Raw genomic sequence first — 17,077 nt, 5'->3', positions numbered from 1 at the left:
CTGCAAGCTCCGCCTCCCGAATTCACGCCATTCTCCTGCCTCAGCCTCCTGAGTAGCTGGGACTACAGGCGCCCGCCACCACGCCCGGCTAATATTTTGTATTTTTAGTAGAGGTGGGGTTTCACCGTGTTAGCCAGGATGGTGTCGATCTCCTGACCTCGTGATTCGCCCGCCTCGGCCTCCTAAAGTGCTGGGATTACAGGCGTGAGCCACCAAGCCCGGCCGGTGATAGAGTTTTGAACAAGACAAAGCTCCTTGCAAAGCTAACCTTGGGAGGTTTGGGGAAAACCACAAAGAGGGTGACAAGATAATTTCAGATAGGGCTAAGGGATAGGAAGAAAATGAAGATGGGACATGTTAAGTAATAATAATAGATGACATTTGAACACTGTGCCAGTCACTCTGTCGATTGTTTTACATATACCTTGTGACAACCCTAAGAGGTAGGCACCGTTATTACGGACATTTTACAGGTGAAACAGGGACACAGGAAAAGTAAGTAACATGCCCAGCTGTTGAATCAAGGCAGCCCGGGACCAGAGTCCACTCTCTGAGAAATGGCATTTGGGCAGGATCGAGAATGAGGAGGAGATCCAGTGTGGCAGAGGCCCTGGGGAGGAATGGGCTGGAAGTATTCGAGAAACCCAAAAGTAAGAGTGGCCTGAGTGGCCCAGAGAGGTTGATGGGAGGCAGGAGTCAGAGCGTGTCTACCCTCGTAGGCCATTGGAGGCTTACATGTGGAAGGGACAGGTTCTGATTCCTGTTTAAAAAGAGGGCTGCTGTCCGGGCGCGGTGGCTCACGCCTGTAATCCCAGCACTTTGGGAGGCCGAGGCGGGCGGATCACGAGGTCAGGAGATCAAGACCATCCTGGCTAACACCCCGTCTCTACTAAAAATACAAAAACAAAATTAGCCCGGCATGGTGGCGGGCGCCTGTAGTCTCAGCTACTCGGGAGGCTGAGGCGAGAGAATGGCGTGAACCTGGAAGGCGGAGCTTGCAGTGAGCCGGGATTGTGCCACTGCACTCCAGCTTGGGCGACAGAGCGAGACTCCATCTCAAAAAAAAAAAAAAAAAAAAAAAAAAATGCCGGGCGCGGTGGCTCACGCCTGTAATCCCAGCACTTTGGGAGGCCGAGGCGGGCGGATCACGAGGTCAGGAGATCGAGACCATCCTGGCTAACACGGTGAAACCCCGTCCCTACTAAAAATATAAAAAATTAGCTGGGCGTGTGGGCGCCTGTAGTCCCAGCTACTCGGGAGGCTGAGGCAGGAGAATGGCGTGAACCCGGGAGGCGGAGCTTGCAGTGAGCCGAGATTGCGCCACTGCACTCCAGCCTGGGCGACAGAGCCAGACTCCGTCTCAAAAAAAAAAAAAGGTTGCTATGTGGAGAATAGATTGTGGGGATGGGGGTAGTAGTGGAAACAGAAGTGGCCTGCAGTAGTGCATGGGAAACCGGGTGACGTTGAGTGTGTGAGGAGTGGCACCTGAGAAGTGGTAAAAGAATCTCCAGGAGACTAGTATTTTCAGGGTACCCCGAATTTTACAGACAGCTCTGACAGGTTAAGCCCACAATAGCTTCGTTTGGATCAGAATTCAGGTCTCTTGAAGCACGGTTTTTGCTTTTTGATTAATTTTCCAGAGGAGGAAAAGGAGTAATAGGTATAATTTTAAACTATTAATATGATGACTGGCAAACTTGAATTATGTGACTGTGGGTCTGGCTTGGTATAATATGATTTACTTTTGTCATTATCTACTTTTGTATATACAAGCAGGCTTTTAATTAATTTTAGTTCATTTCAAATCTGTGAGCTTTTATGAATTGAGCCAGTTCCTAGAGGCTACTTTTATGGTACACTGGAAATTGTAGTTGTCAGGAATAAGATTAAGATTATTTAGTGGGTCAAAATTTTAATCCTGTTAGATTGTCCTGTGAGTTTAGTTTGCTTATTATTAATTGTGCTGCTTTGTGAGTAACAGGCAGAACGGAAGGACTGTAGTGCTGTTTAGTCACAAATCTTAGGAATTAGCTACATCACATAGCTTGGGATAAATTTTTGCCTTATAGTATGTTTATATGGAGGTACAATTTTTAAAATATCTCTTTCATTTATTTTTTTCATAACTTTTATTGGGATATAGTTCACATACCATAAAATTTACCTTTTAAAGTAGGCCATTTACAGATTTTTAGTCTATTCATTAAATTGTGCAGCCGTTATCTAATTCTATAACATTTTCACTTCCCCAGAAAGAAACTCCATATTTATTTCCCAGTTATTCTCCATTCCCCTTCCCCCTGCGTTGGCAACAACTAATTTACATTCTAAGTCTCTATGAATCTGCTTATTCTGAACATTTCATGTAAATGGAATATACAGTATGTGGCTTTGTCTGGTTTCCTTAGAACAATGTTTTCAAGGTTCATCCATGTTATGGCACGTATTAGTACTTAATTCCTTTATATTGTTGAATAGTTGTGTCAATATGCCACATTTTATCCATTTATCCATTGTTCCTTAAAATTTTTCTATTTCTGGCCAGGCGTGGTGGCTCATGCCTGTAATCCCAGCACTTTGGGAGGATGAGGTGGGCGGATCACGAGGTCAATAGTTCGAGACCAGCCTGGCCAATAGGGTGAAACCCCGTCTCTACTAAAAATACAAAAATTGCCTGGCATGGTAGTGTGCTCCTGCAGTTCCAGCTACTCGGGAGGCTGAGGCAGAAGAATTGCTTGAACCTGGGAGACGGAGGTTGTGGTGAGCCGAGATCATGCCGCTGCACTCCAGCCTGGGTGACAGAGCGACACTCCGTCTCAATTAAAAAAAAAAAAAAATTCTGTTTTGTTTTTTGTTCTTGTAAAATTTTTATTAAAACATTTAATTTTGAGGCCGGGTGCGGTGGCTCATGCCTATAATCCCAGCACTTTGGGAGGCTGAGGTGGGCAGATCACGAGGTCAGGAGATCGAGACCATCCTGGCTACGGTGAAACCCCGTCTCTACTAAAAAAAAAAATACAAAAAATTAGCCGGGCATGGTGGCGGGCACCTATAGTCCCAGCTAGTTGGGAGGCTGAGGCGGGAGAATGGCGTGAACCCAGGAGGCGGAGCTTGCAGTGAACCGAGATTGTGCCACTGCACTCCAGCCTGGGCGATAGAGCGAGACTCTGTCTCCAAAAAAAAAAAAAAAAAAAAAAAAAAAATTTTTACTTTTGAAATAATTTCAGACTCACAAGACCTTGCAAAAGTGGTACAGAGTTCTTTGTGTACTCTTTATTCAACTTCCCTGACGTTGATATCTTAACCATAGAACATTGTTGAAACCAATAAATTGACATTGAGACAATGTTATTAATTCAAGAAAGATTTTACTTGGATTTTATCAGTTTTACATGCACTCTCTGTGTAGTTCTAACAAATTGTGTCACTTGTGTAGATTAGAATAATCACCACAGTCAGGATGCCAAACTGTTTCATTACCACAAAGAACAGTCACTCTCTCTTCAAATCTAAGCTTGGGAAACACTGATCTGTTCTCTATCACTTAATGTTGCCACTTTGAGAATGTTATATAAATGGAATTATACAGTATGTCACCTTTTGTGATTCGCCTTTTTTCATGCAGCGTAATGCCCTTGAGATTCATCCATGTTGTTGCCTGTGTGAGCAGAGCATTCCTTTTTTTTTTTTTTTTTTTTTTTTTTGAGATGGAGTTTTGCTCTTGTTGCCCAGGCTGGAGTGCAGTGGCACGATCTTGGCTCACCGTAACCTCCGCTTCCTGGGTTTAAGCGATTCTCCTGACTTAGCCTCCTGAGTAGCTGGGATTACAGGCATGTGCCACCATGCCAGGCTAATTTTGTATTTTAAGTAGAGACGGGGTTTCTCCACTTTGGTCAGGCTGGTCTCGAGCTCCTGACCTCAGGTGATCCACCCGCCTTGGCATCCCAAAGTGCTGGGATTATAGGCATGAGCCACCGTGCCTGGCTGTGCTTTCCTTTTTATTGGTAACAAGTATTCCATTGTGTGGATTAACAGTTTATTCACAGGCTAAAGGATATCTGGGTATACTTTGCTTCTACTTTTTTTTTTGAGATGGCATCTTGCTCTGTCGCCCAGGCTGGAGTGCACTGGCGCAATCATGGCTCACTGCACCTGCCACCTCCCAGGTTCAAGCGATTCTCCTGGCTCAGCCTCCCAAGTAGCTGGGACTACAGGCATGTGCCACCACGCCTGGCTAATTTTTGTATTTTTAGTAGAGATGGGGTTTCACCATCTTGGTCAGGCTGGTTACGAACTCCTGGCCTCAAATGATCTGCCTGCCTTAGCCTCCCAAAGTGTTGGGATTACAGGCGTGAGCCACCGTGCCCAGCTTGGTGAGACAGTTTTGGAATGTAATGATACAAGTTTATATCCTTATTCAGTAAGCCTCAACCCTTGAATTTATACTTCCCTGTAGTATAAATTCAAGCTCATAAGCCCATGACTTTGGAATACTTCTCATGGATTACCTAATTTTCATTTCTTATTTTTTTACACATTTGTTTATTCAACAAACATTTTTGCTTACTACCTCTACAGTAGAATACAGTAAATGGACACGAAGCAAATACCTAGTGCTGCAGATAGCTAGTGCCAGGGTGTGTGTTGGATGCTAGAAGAGTAAGATAATTAAAGTAGAAGAGATTGCTTTGTGAAAAGACCATTGCAGGACAGTGTGATGAGAACTGTAAGATTTAGGTACAGTAGTGCTTAGTTTTTTTGTTTTTGTTTTGTTTTGTTTTGTTTTTTCGAGATGGAGTCTTGCTCTGTTGCCCAGGCTGGACTGCAGTGGCCTGGTCTTGGCTCACTGAGACAGGGTTTCGCCATATTGGCCAGGCTGGTCTCAAGCTCCTGACGTCATGATCTACCTGCCTTGGCCTCACAAAGCGTTGGGATTACAGGCTTGAGCCACTGCGCCTGGCCAGATTTCATTTTAATATTGTCATTTTAATGAAATAACTTTTTTTTTTTTTCTTGAGGCAGTCTTGCTCTGTCACCCAGACAGGAATGCAGTGGCATGATCTTGGCTCAGTGTAACCTCTGCCTCCTGGGTTCAGGCGCTCCTCATGCCTCAGCCTCCCAAGTAGCTGGGATTACAGGCATGCGCCACCATGCCCAGCTTATTTTCTTTGTATTTTTAGTAGAGCCTGGTCAGGAACTCCTGGCCTAAGCCTCAAGTGATCTGCCTGCCTCAGCCTTCCAAAATGCTGGGATTACAGTCATGAGCTACTGCCCCTGGCCCAGCTTTTTTTTTTTTTTTTTTTTTTTTTAAAGTAATAAAAGTAATATGGTCATGGTAAAAAATTCAGTACAGAATTCAGTATAATACAGAAGATTTAAGAAGCAAGTGTCAGCTGTGGCTCCACTAATTATTTTTAATTTAAAAATTTTTTAGCAGCTGGGCGTGGTAGCTTACGCCTGTAATCCCAGCGCTTTGGGAGGCCGAGGTGGGCAGATCACAAGGTCAGGAGATCAAGACCATCCTGACCAACATGGCGAAACCCCGTCTCTTCTAAAAATACAAAAATTAGCCAGGCGTGGTGGCATGTGCCTATAATCCCAGCTATGCAGGAGGGTGAGGCGGGAGAATTGCTTGAACCCGGGAGGCAGAGCTTGCAGTGAGCTGAGATGGCGCCACTGCACTCCAGCCTGGGCGACAGAGCGAGACTCCATCTCAAAAAAAAAAAAAAAAAAAATTTTAGCATGTTAATTTAGGGTATCTAATTGTTTTGGTGTGTTATTCTTTTACTTGTGCATGGTTTTGTTCATTTTTCAAAAATTGAGTCCTAGCATACATGTATATGCATGTATGTAAAGTGCATTGATCTTTTAAAGATCAGTGAGGATCACTAGAGGTCAGGAGTTTGAGACCAGCCTGGCCAACATGATGAAACCCCGTCTCTACTAAAAATACAGAAATTAGCTGGGAGTGGTGGCACATGCCTGTAGTCCCAGCTATTCCAGAGTCCGAGGTGGGAGAATTGCTTGAACACGGGAGATAGAGGTTGCTTTGAGCTGAGATTGCACCACTTAGTGCCAGCCTGGGCGACGCAGTGAAACTCCCTCTTAAGGATAAAACATCATTTTTAATTTTAATTTTCTTTTTTAGAGATAGGATCTTGCTTTGTTGCCTAGGCCGCTTTCACCCTCTTGGGTTTGGGTGATACCCCACCTAAGCCTCCCAAGTAGCTGGGACTGCAGGTGCCTACCACCATGCCTGGCAGTGCACTCATATTTTTTTGAGACGGAGTCTTGCTCTTTCGCTAGGCTGGTGTGCAGTGGCGCTATCTCAGCTCACTGCAACCTCCGCTTCCCCGATTCAAGCCATTCTCCTGCCTCAGCCTCCTGAGTAGCTGGGAGTACAGGCTCGTGCCACCACTCCCCAGCTAATTTTTGTATTTTTAGTAGAGACGAGGTTTCACCATGTTGGCCGGGCTGGTCTCGATCTCCTGACCTTGTGATCTGCCCGCCTCGGCTTCCCAAAGTGCTGGGATTACAGGCGTGAGCCACCACGCCTGGCCCAGTGCATTCGTCTTAATTGTACAGTTTGATGATTTTTTTTACATTTATTTATACCCCTGTAACGACCATGTAGATCAGTATATAAAACCCCTTCAATGCTCCATAAGTTTTCTCATGCCTCTCCCGAGTCTATACTCTACCACCTAGGAGCAACAACTTTTTTGATATCTATCATTATTGATTAGTTTTGTCTGTTCTTGAATTTCATATAAATGAAATCATATAGAATATACAGTCATCCCTCAGTACGCTTGGAGGATTGGTTCTGGGACACCCTCAAATAACAAAGTCTGAGGATACTCAAGTCCCTTGTAACCTTCACACATCCTCCTGTATATTTTAAATTATCTCTGGATTACTAATAATATATATACAATGTAAATACCATGTCAATGGTTGTTACATGGTGTTTTTTTAATTTGTAGTTTTTATTTTGTTATTATTTATTTACTTTTGATTGTTTTTGATTCATGATTGGTTGAACCTATGGATGCAGAGTCCACAGTTTCAGAGGGCTGACTTTATATATATATATATATTTTTTTTTAGAGACTGGGTCTTGCTTTGTTGGCTGACAGTGGCACAATCATAGCTCACTGCCACCTCAAATTCCTGGCCTCAAATGATCCTCCTGCCTCAGGCTGCTGAGTAGCTGGGACTACATGTGAGCACCACCATGCCCAGCTGATTTTAAAATTTTTTGTAGAGATGGGATCTCCCTATGTTGCCCAGGCTCAAAGATGTAGTTTTGATTGAACTACTTTACTCTCCCACAAGTGTAAAGACACTTAAGTTTGCTTCACATTTTTGCCCACACTTGGCAGTGTCATTGTAATAAATTTTACCTATTATGGGTGTGTATTGATATTTCATTATGGTTTTCAATTGCATTTTCCTGAGTAATGATGTTAAACATCATTTTTTTTTTTTTTTTGAGACGGAGTCTTTCTCTGTTGCCAGACTGGATTGCAGTGGCATGATCTCGGCTCACTGCAACCTCCACCACCTGAGTACAAGCAATTCTCCTGCCTCAGCCTCCTGAGTAGCTGGGACTACAGGTGTGTGCCACCGTGCCCAGCTAATTTTTGTATTTTTGGTAGAGATGGGGTTTCACCATGTTGGCCAGGATGGTCTTGATCTCTTGACTTCGTGATCTGCCCACCTCGGCCTCCCAAAGTGCTGGGATTACAGGCGTGAGCCACCAGGCCCAGCCAACATCTTTTCATATGTTTCTTGGTCATTTGAGTTTCCTGTTTTGTGAAGCGCCTTTTTAAGTCTTTTGCCCCCTACCCTTTAAAAAAAATATTGTGTCGTAAGTTTTTCTTACTGATTTATAAAAATTTGTAGATTTTCAGATGACTTCTTTTTCGGATGTATGTATAAGTTATGTATCTTTCTAATCATTATGGATATCATTTTGTAATCTAAAAGCAAACTGGAAATCAGGAGGGCATTCTAAACTGGTTCTGGAAGAACCAGTAATTCTCCAAGTAAAATAAGGGGGCAGGGCAAGGACCTTCCATGCCGAAGAAACACTGCAGTTGGTGTCAACATGTGGGGTTTAAAATGGCGTGTAGTCTTGGAATGTCAAGCAGGTTAGTAGGGCTGGAGTGCAGGGTGTGGTAAGCAATAAATAGGGCTCTGAGGAAGTCAAACGAAGGACTGGGGAGCTGTTAAGGGGTACACACTCAGGTTTTTAGAAAGATTCCTTTAGCTATTGTGTGGGGAGTTGCTTAGAGGCCAGGGGCTCCATTGGGAGGCTATTGCATGAGGCTTCAGGAGACTGATGTATATTAAGGGGCCAGAATCCACTAGACTTAGTGTCCAGTTTAATGTGAGAGGAGAGTGGGAGGGTTCTAGGATTAATTCCATGTTTCTGAATTAGCTAAATTTATGGGTGGTGTTGCCATTTTTTGCAATAGGGAATGCAGAATGTGTTTCGGAAAAATTAATGGTGACTTTGGCCAGGCTTTTCTCTTTTTTTCTTCTTTTTTTTGATACGGGGTCTTGCTCTGTTGCTCAGGCTGGAGTGCGGTGGCGCGATCTCAGTTCTCACTGCAGCATCTGCCTCCCAAGTTCAAGCAATTCTCCCACCTCAGCCTCCTGAGTAGCTGGGATTACAGTGCCACTACCACGGCTGGCTAATTTTTGTATTTTTTTTTTTCAGTTGAGATGGGGTTTCACCATGTTGGCCAGGCTGGTCCTGAACTCCTGGCCTCAGGTGATCCACCCTCCTCCGCCCCCCAAAGTGCTGGGATTATAGGCATGAGCCACCGCGCCCAGCCTGGCCAGCCTTTTTGAGGTCTCTATATAAATTCCTTTAAGAGCTGTTTGGTCAGTGTTTATAGCTAGAGCACTGGGAAGAGCTCTGTTGAGGGTGATATATATTGGGAGTTGTCAGGTATAGCTGATGGTAGGGAACTGGCTGAATGAAGGTGCATTAACATGTGAAGAGAAGGCTACAGGTAGGGTTGGTAAAGGAGGAGCCAGAGAGATGGGAGACCCAGGAGAAAGTTGTCTTACAGAAACCAAGGGAATACAGCATTTCAAGAAGGGCGTGGTCAGCAGTGTTAGTCTGCAGATAAAATTCAAGTGAGATGAGCCTTAATCTTGGCCTTTGCTTTTGGCAGTTAGAAAATCATTAGAGACTATAGCTGGAACTATCTTAGCACAGTGTTTTAAAATAAAAGCAACCTTGCAGCTGTAAAAGTGAATAGGAAGATAGAGCAGGGTCCTTTTTGTTTTGTTTGTTTTTCTTAAGATTAGTTATTGAATAAGCTTTTTAGTGTGTGTGTGTGTGTGTGTGTGTGTGTAAAGGAGAAAAGGTGCTTTTTATTAAAAAAAAAAGGGGGGTGGGGGGGCGGGCGTGGTGGCTCACTACTGTAATCCTAGCACTTTGGTAGGCCGAGGTGGGTGGATCTCCTGAGGTCAGGAGTTCGAGACCAGCCTGGCCAACATGGCGAAACCCCATCTCTACTAAAAATACAAAAATTAGCCGGGAGTGGTGGTGCACGCCTGTAATCCCAGCTATTATGGAGGCTGAGGAGGAGAATTGCTTGAACCTGAGAGGTGGAGGTTGCAGTGAGCCAGATCGTGCCACTGCATTCAAGCCTGGGCAACAGAGTGAGACTCTATACCCTCCCCTCACCAAAAAAAAAAAAGAAAAAAAGGATGGCAAGGAGCTAGTAGAAAGTTAGAGGTTGAAAATATGGGCAAGAAAAGGGGTATTTGGAGCAAAAATCCTGAGTTGTCAGGAAGTAGTGGGATTATAGCACAGGTTTTCAATGGATAGGGATGGGATGGGGTGAGGGTAGACGGACTACAACTCTTTGCTCTGAGATGAAGAATGCCGTAGGGGTGTGTGTTTGTGTGTGTGTGTGTTTTAAGAAATGAATTTTTGGCCGGGCGTGGTGATTTGTGCCTGTAATCCCAGCACTTTGGGAGGCCAAGGCGGGCGGATCACAAGGTCAGGAGATAGAGACCATCCTGGCTAACATGGTGAAACCCTGTCTCTACTAAACAAAATACAAAAAATTTGCTGGGTGTGGTGGCGGGCGCCTGTAGTCCCAGCTGCACGGGAGGCTGAGGCAGGAGAATGGTGTGAACCTGGGAAGGCGGAGCTTGCATTGAGCTGAGATCACGACACTGCACTCCAGCCTGGGTGGCAGACAGAGACTCTGTCTCAAAAAAAAAAAAAAAAAAAAAAAAAAAAGAAATGAATTCTCATTACGTTGCCCAAGCTGGACTCAAACTGCTGGGCTCAAGTGATCCTGCTTTAGCCTTCTGAGTAGCTGGGACTACAGGTGTTTGCCCTACTGTGCCCAGCTATAAGTTGCATGTTTTAAAATACCTATGGTGAGCTTCTCCATACCGTTCTGGAATATTGCATAATACATGATATGGGTGCCATATTACCTTTGGAAAACCCAAAAAACTTGAATAGCGAAACATCTGGTCCCAAGGATTGTGGACCTGTGGTAAATATTCAGTAAAGGTTGGCCGTTTTGTGGTTGTTAGGCTTTTGTTGCTTGCTTATTTATTTCTAAATAGCTTATCTAGTTGTGCTAACTCAATTGTATTTCCACCTGTACTTGAGTGTGTTGACTTCTCTGTCCTTGCTCTAGTTCCAGGTTACCTTGATCGCTGTGATTTTGAATACATTTTCTTTTCTTTTTAAAATAGAGATGGGTATTGCTTTGCTGCCCAGGTTAGTCTTAAACTCCTGGCTTCAAGCTGTCTTCCCACCTTGGCTCCCCAAAGTGTTGGGATTACAGGTGTGAGCCAGTGTGCTTGGCCTGACTACATTTCAGTTTTTGGAAATGCAAGGGCTCTCTTATACCCCCATACCCACTTGTTACACTTGATTTTATATTTTTGGGGGCCATTCTTGCATATTTTTTCATTAAGATGATATTTTCAAGTCCCTATCTCAGTATTGTTTTGCTATTGGGTTGGGTTAATATTGAATTTGTAGTTTACTTAGGGAGACCTTGAAGAGTCTTGAATTAGCAACACATTTTTTTAAACATAAATTTTTTCCAGGTTTTAAAAATATTATATGCCATATCTAGAAATTATAGGAGTATAAAAAGACAAAAAACAAAAATGACTCATATTCTCACCAGCCAGCATGATATGCACAGATAGGATGTTGCTAATATTTTGTTATATTTCCTTCTGGCCTTTTTCTCTTCCTGTGTTTTTGTTACTTACATTATCATCTCTTATATATGATTTTGTATCCTGCTTTCCTTATTTTACATTTTGTTATAAATATTTTTCATGGGCTGGCTGGGTGCAGTGGCTCAAGCCTGTAATTCCAGCAGTTTGGGAGGCCGAGGCGGGTGGATCACGAGGTCAGGAGTTTGAGACCAGCCTAGCCAATATGGTGCAACCCTGTCTCTACTAAAAACACAAAAATAGCTGGGCGTGGTGGCGGGCGCCTGTAATCCCTTCCCAGCTCCTCCGTAGGCGAGGCAGGAGAACTGCTTGAACCCGGGAGGTGGAGGTTGTATTAAGCCAGAGATGGCGCCATTGCACTCCAACCTGGGCGACCGAATGAGACTCTGACTCAAAAAAATATATGTATATTTTTCATGTCTTTAAAAACTTCATAACTAATTATTAATGACTAACATTCTAATTTGTTTTATTTGCTTAAATATTTCCCTATTGCTAGACAGATGTTTCCAGTTTTCTGGCATGGTATTACTTCAGTGAATATCTTTGTATGCATTTCAGATTTTCTTAGACTAGGTGGAATCCTGCAAATGGAAATATTAGGTCAAAGACATTGAACCTTTTTAAGGCTCTTAAATTTTGGAAAAGCTCTTTTAAAGAAGAATCAGCAGGAGTAGGACTAATTAACTATGGGACATGAAGAGAAAAGCAATACAAAATGACAAAATTAAAGGTTTTTTTGACTTAGACTGTTATACTTAATGAAGAATAAGAAAGTTGGCAGAAACTGGCTGGGCGCGGTGGCTCATGCCTGTAATCCCAGCACTTTGGGAGGCCAAGGTGGGCAGATCACTTGAGGTGAGGAGTTTGAGACCAGCCTGGCCAACATGGTGAAACCCCGTCTCTACTAAAAATATAAAAATTAGCTGGGCGTGGTGGCATGTGCCATAATCCCAGCTACTTGGGAGGCTGAGACAGGAGAATCAATTGAACACAAGAGGTAGACGTTGCAGGGAGCCAAGATCATGCCACTGCACTCCAGCGTGGGCGACAGAGCAAGACTCCATCTCAAAAAAGAAAGAAAGTCGGGAGAAATTGTTTGGAGATGAGGGAGACTTTGTTTTAGGCATAACCAAGTTGAAAGTGACTAGAACCGAAAAGGAAGTATGGTACAGGGAGCTGATGGGCAGGTGGGAAGCTGGGACTTCAAGGAGACATTTAAAGCACTTACGACAGTAAGGTCAGCTTACTGCAGGAAAGAGGATGGTGGAGAGAAGAGGGCTTGGTCTGAAATTTAGAAAATGTCTTTTGTGAGCCAGGCGCGGTGGCCCACATCTGTAATCCCAGCACTTTGGGAGGCCGAAGCGAGCGGATCACTTGAGGCCAGGAGTTCGAGACCAGCCTGGCCAACATGACGAAACCCCATGTCTATTAAAAATACAAAAATCAGCTGGATGTGGTGGTGCACGCCTGTAATCCCAGTTCATAGGGAGGCTGAGGCATGAGAATCACTTGAATCTGGGAGGTGGAGGTCGAAGTGAGCCAAGATCATGCCGCTGCACTCCATCCTGGGCAACAGAGTGAGACTTTGTTTCAAAAAAAAAAAAAAAAGGAAAAGAAAAAAAATTTTTTTTTTTTGTGGCAAAGTAAAGGAAGGAAAGTTAAAGGATAAACCGGTTGAGGGAGAGAAGTCTAAGGAGAATGAGATTTGAGAAAAATTTATTACGTTTGTTTATCGTTGATGGCCTTCAGATATCATTAGCATTAGTATCTTTTTTCTGATCTTGACAGTTTATAAATAATTTATCATTATTTCATTAGTTGGTATAGGTGGGTAGTATTATCTATGTTGGAACTAAGGATTAGAGAGAGTTTTGTCTTGCTCTGTTTGTATTACAGGTCCAATAGGACCCACAGATTTTTTTTGAGATGGAGTTCCACTCTTGTCGCTGAGGCTAGAGAGCAATGGCGCTATCTTGGCTCACTGCAACCTCCGCCTCCTGGGTTCAAGTGATTCTCCTGCCTCAGTGGCCCAAGTAGCTGGGATTACAGGCACATGACACCATGCCCAGCTAATTTTTGTATTTTTAGTAGAGACAGGGTTTCACCACGTTTGCCAGGCTGGTCTCGAACTCCTGACCTCAGGTGATCCACCGGCCTTGGCCTCTCAAGGTGCTGGGATTATAGGTGTGAGCCACCATGCCCAGTCGTACTCACAGATTTTTAATATTGTCTTGTATTCTGTTTGCAAAGAGGAAAAATTATTACATATATTCAAATAAGGCAATATTAAAAAAAATCATTACCTGGAGTTGCCAGATTCTTAAGCTTATAGGCTTTTTTAATTCTAGGCGCATGACCACCAACCAAAGGTGAAGGTAGAGCAACTTGATGGAATCTTCTGGTGCTATAGTACAACTTGTGTGAATAGTTAGTGCTCAGAGAGTTTTTTCTTTCCTTTGTTTGGGTTGGGGTGCTTTATTTGGTTGTTGTGTATGTCTCCAAAGGAACCTTTCATAGTTTGTATTATGCTTTATATAGCTCAGTATAAGGCAGCCCTAATTCTAAGTTTCCTCATTCCCCAGTGAGAAGATTAAATTTTATGACAATTTGAGCATGTAAACTTTATGGATATACATGAAATAGTCAAATGTCTACTTATGATATTTAATTTCTTAAGTTAGTTACAAATATTTTTCAATTCACAAATAAAATTTTACATTAATTTAGAAATACTGCTTTTCCACTCTTGTTTTATGAAGCTGTTTTATGTAGACATTTCAGATTTGCAACAGCAATGACTATTATCATTATAAGTGCTTTTTGAATCAGTTAAATGGTTTTCTAGAGAACTTTTTTTTTTTTTTTTTTTTTTTTTTATGAGTTGGAGTCTTGCTCTGTCACCCAGGCTGGAGTGCAGTGGCGCTATCTCGGCTCACTGCGGCCTCCGCCTTCCGGGTTCATGCCATTCTCCTGCCTCAGCCTCCTGAGTAACTGGGACTACAGGCGCCCGCCACCACGCCTGGCTAATTTTTTTGTATTTTTAGTAGAGGTGGGGTTTCACCGTGATAGCCAGAATGGTCTCGATCTCCTGACCTCGTGATCTGCCTGCCTGGGCCTCCCAAAGTGCTGGAATTATAAGTGTGAGCCACTGTGCCCGGCCCAGGGAACATATTTTTTAATTATGTTTTTAGAACTGTAAATTTACAGCAAAGCTGTGGAGATGGTAGAGAGAGAGAACATCATATTTCCCACAGTCTAAACAGTTAGCATTATAGCATTTCTTTTTCTTTTTTTGAGACAGGGTCTCACTCTGCAGCCTTGACCTCCTGGACTCTAGTGATCCTCCCACCTCAGGCCCCCAAGTAGCTGGGACTACAGGCATGCACTACCTACCATACCTGACTAGTGTTTTTTTTTTTTTTTTTTGTAGAGATGGGGTCTCACTGTTGCCCAGGCTGGTCTCAAACTCCTGGTCTCATGTGATCTTCCCACCCTAACCTCCCAGAGTGCTGGGATTACAGACGTGAGCCACCATGCCCTACTGATACAGTATTTCTTGAATTCATATATGATACTGACACTGGATATTTTTTATTTTTGTAAACTACCTGTTTGCAAAACAGTGGGACAGTTTTAAAAATTTATTTTCTGCAAATTACATTTATTACTGTCAGAATTTAATGACTAACTTGATTTTTTTTTTTCACCATGTTCCCGAGTAGCTGGGATTACAGGCACATGCCACCATGCCTGGTTGATTTTTGTATTTTTCGTAGAGATGGGGTTTTGCCATGTTGGCCAGGCTGGTCTTGAACTCCTGGCCTCAAGTGATCCATTCACCTTGGGCTCCCAGAGTGCTGGGATTACAGACGTGAGCCACCATGCCTGATCGAAACTACTTTTTTGAGGGATACTGTTTGAGAAAATACCTTGACTTACATTTGGGCATATATAATACTTTATGTTGAATTCTTAGCCTCACTAGATAAATCCTACAAAATGTATATGTCCATGTTTTGTTACTGATGTTTGAATTACGCTCCACATAGACATCTTTCTAGTTAAAGCTTTGCTAGTAAGTTTAAAATTAATAATCCGGCCGGGCGCAGTAGATCATGCCTGTAATCCTAGCACTTTCAGAGGCCTAAGCGGGTGGATTGCCTGAGGTCAGGAGTTCAAGACCAGCCTGGGCAACATGGTAAAACCCTGTCTCTACTAAAATACAAAAAATTAGTCAGGCTTGATGGTGCACGCCTATAGTCCCAGCTACTTGGGAGGGTAAGGCATGAGAATCATTTGAACCTGGGAGGCAGAGGTTGCAGTGAGCCGAGATGGTGCCACTGCACTCCAGCCTGGGGTGCAGAGCGAGAGTCTGTCTCAAAAAAAAAAAAAAAAAGAAAGAAAAAAAATTAATTAAAAAAATTGGCTTGTCAGTTCCAGAGTGCATTGTTTCAGGCATCTCTTTGAAACATTATTAATGTAAATATTTTTCGGCATTATAATTTTCAAATCAGTCTTAGAATATGGAGCCTAAAAGGATAGGAATAAGAAGGAGCATCTAGATGACATGATTGAATGCATTAAACTTGGGTATGTTGTAACATACAACTGTCATTCAACTTTGTGAACATATAGTGTGGGTACCTGTATCCCCCAAACTCCTGAAATTTAGATGTGTCTCTGGATGGACTGTGTGTGTTGGGCAGGTTTAGTAGATAGGGTGGGAGAAAGGGTAAGGAAAGACTGTAAGCTAGGAATAAACATCCCCAGGAAGCCGAAGTTTCATTGAGATGTAGTAGAGATAAGATGGATAATTTACTTAAAAGAAATTCCTGGCACTTGGCAGTCCTACTTTTGTGGCTGGGTGCTTCATTTGGTCACCAGGTGCTGTCATTACTTCTAACATCCAGGGTACAAAGGTTGCCACTGTGTTTGATGCCAGCTAGCTACTTTGGTCACTTTTGTTGTTGTTGTTGTTGTTGTTTGAGATGGAGTCTTGCTCTTGTTGCCCAGGCTGGAGTGCAATGACGTGATCTTGGCTCACTGCAACCTCTGCTTCCCGGGTTCAAGCGATTCTCCTGCCTCAGCCTCCTGAGTAGCTGGGATTACAGGCATGCGCCACCACGCCTGGCTAATTTTGTATTTTTAGTAGAGACGGGGTTTCTCCGTGTTGGTCAGGCTGGTCTCGAACTCCTGACCTCAGGCGATCCGCCTGCTTCATCTTCCCAAAGTACTGGGATTACAGGGGTGAGCCACTGTGCCCGGCCTTCAGTCACTTTTATGGGGAATCTTATCCTGTTGATTATTTTTATTTCTAGAATATCCTATTGATAGTTTTTTGGGGGGATTGGGCATGATGTATTTTATCCTAAAATAAGATGTTACTGAATGTTAATTGCAGAATTAATGTAAAATTGACTACATCTTTCACAGATGAAATACATCGTGTATAGCTGTGGGTCTGAAAATGTGTGGAGTGGCCTGGACTTTACAGAGCACCTGGATCAATGTTTTTCAGCCTTACTTTGTAGTAGCAGAATGCTTTGTGAAATAAAATCTTGTGTAGGCCGGGCACAGTGGCTCATGCCTGTATTCTCAACACTTTGAGAGGCCAAGGTGGGTGAATCACTTGAGGTCAGGAGTTCGATACCAGCCTGGCCAGCGTGATGAAGCCCTGTCTGTAGTAAAAATACAAAAAATTAGCTGGGCCTGGTTGCATGCTCCTGTAATCTCAGCTACTCGGGAGGCTGAGGCAGGAGAATTGCTTGAACCCAGCAGGTGGAGGTGGCAGTGAGCTGAGATTGTGCCATTTCACTGCAGCCTGGGCAACAGA

The 17,077-nt window shown here is 43.4% G+C and overlaps 1 protein-coding gene across 26 annotated transcripts in view, besides 1 other annotated feature; it reads left to right on the top strand.

Annotated features, from left to right (window-relative positions):
- Positions 1-17,077, top strand: part of SRPK2 (SRSF protein kinase 2) — a 284,618-nt gene that overhangs the window by 13,101 nt on the left and 254,440 nt on the right. The window lies entirely within an intron of this gene.
- Positions 8,285-9,271: an enhancer, noted in NCBI's record as "H3K4me1 hESC enhancer chr7:105017433-105018419 (GRCh37/hg19 assembly coordinates)". NCBI's record gives its function as "activates a minimal SCP1, AML or CMV promoter by ChIP-STARR-seq in primed H9 embryonic stem cells {active_cell/tissue: H9 hESC(primed)}" and the evidence as "EXISTENCE:reporter gene assay evidence [ECO:0000049][PMID:30033119]".

This window comes from Homo sapiens, chromosome 7 (genome assembly GCF_000001405.40).
Source record: "Homo sapiens chromosome 7, GRCh38.p14 Primary Assembly".
Taxonomy (NCBI): Eukaryota; Metazoa; Chordata; class Mammalia; order Primates; family Hominidae; genus Homo; species Homo sapiens.
The sequence above is the reverse complement of the archived record's forward strand: the minus strand, read 5'-3'. Positions and strand labels throughout refer to the sequence as shown.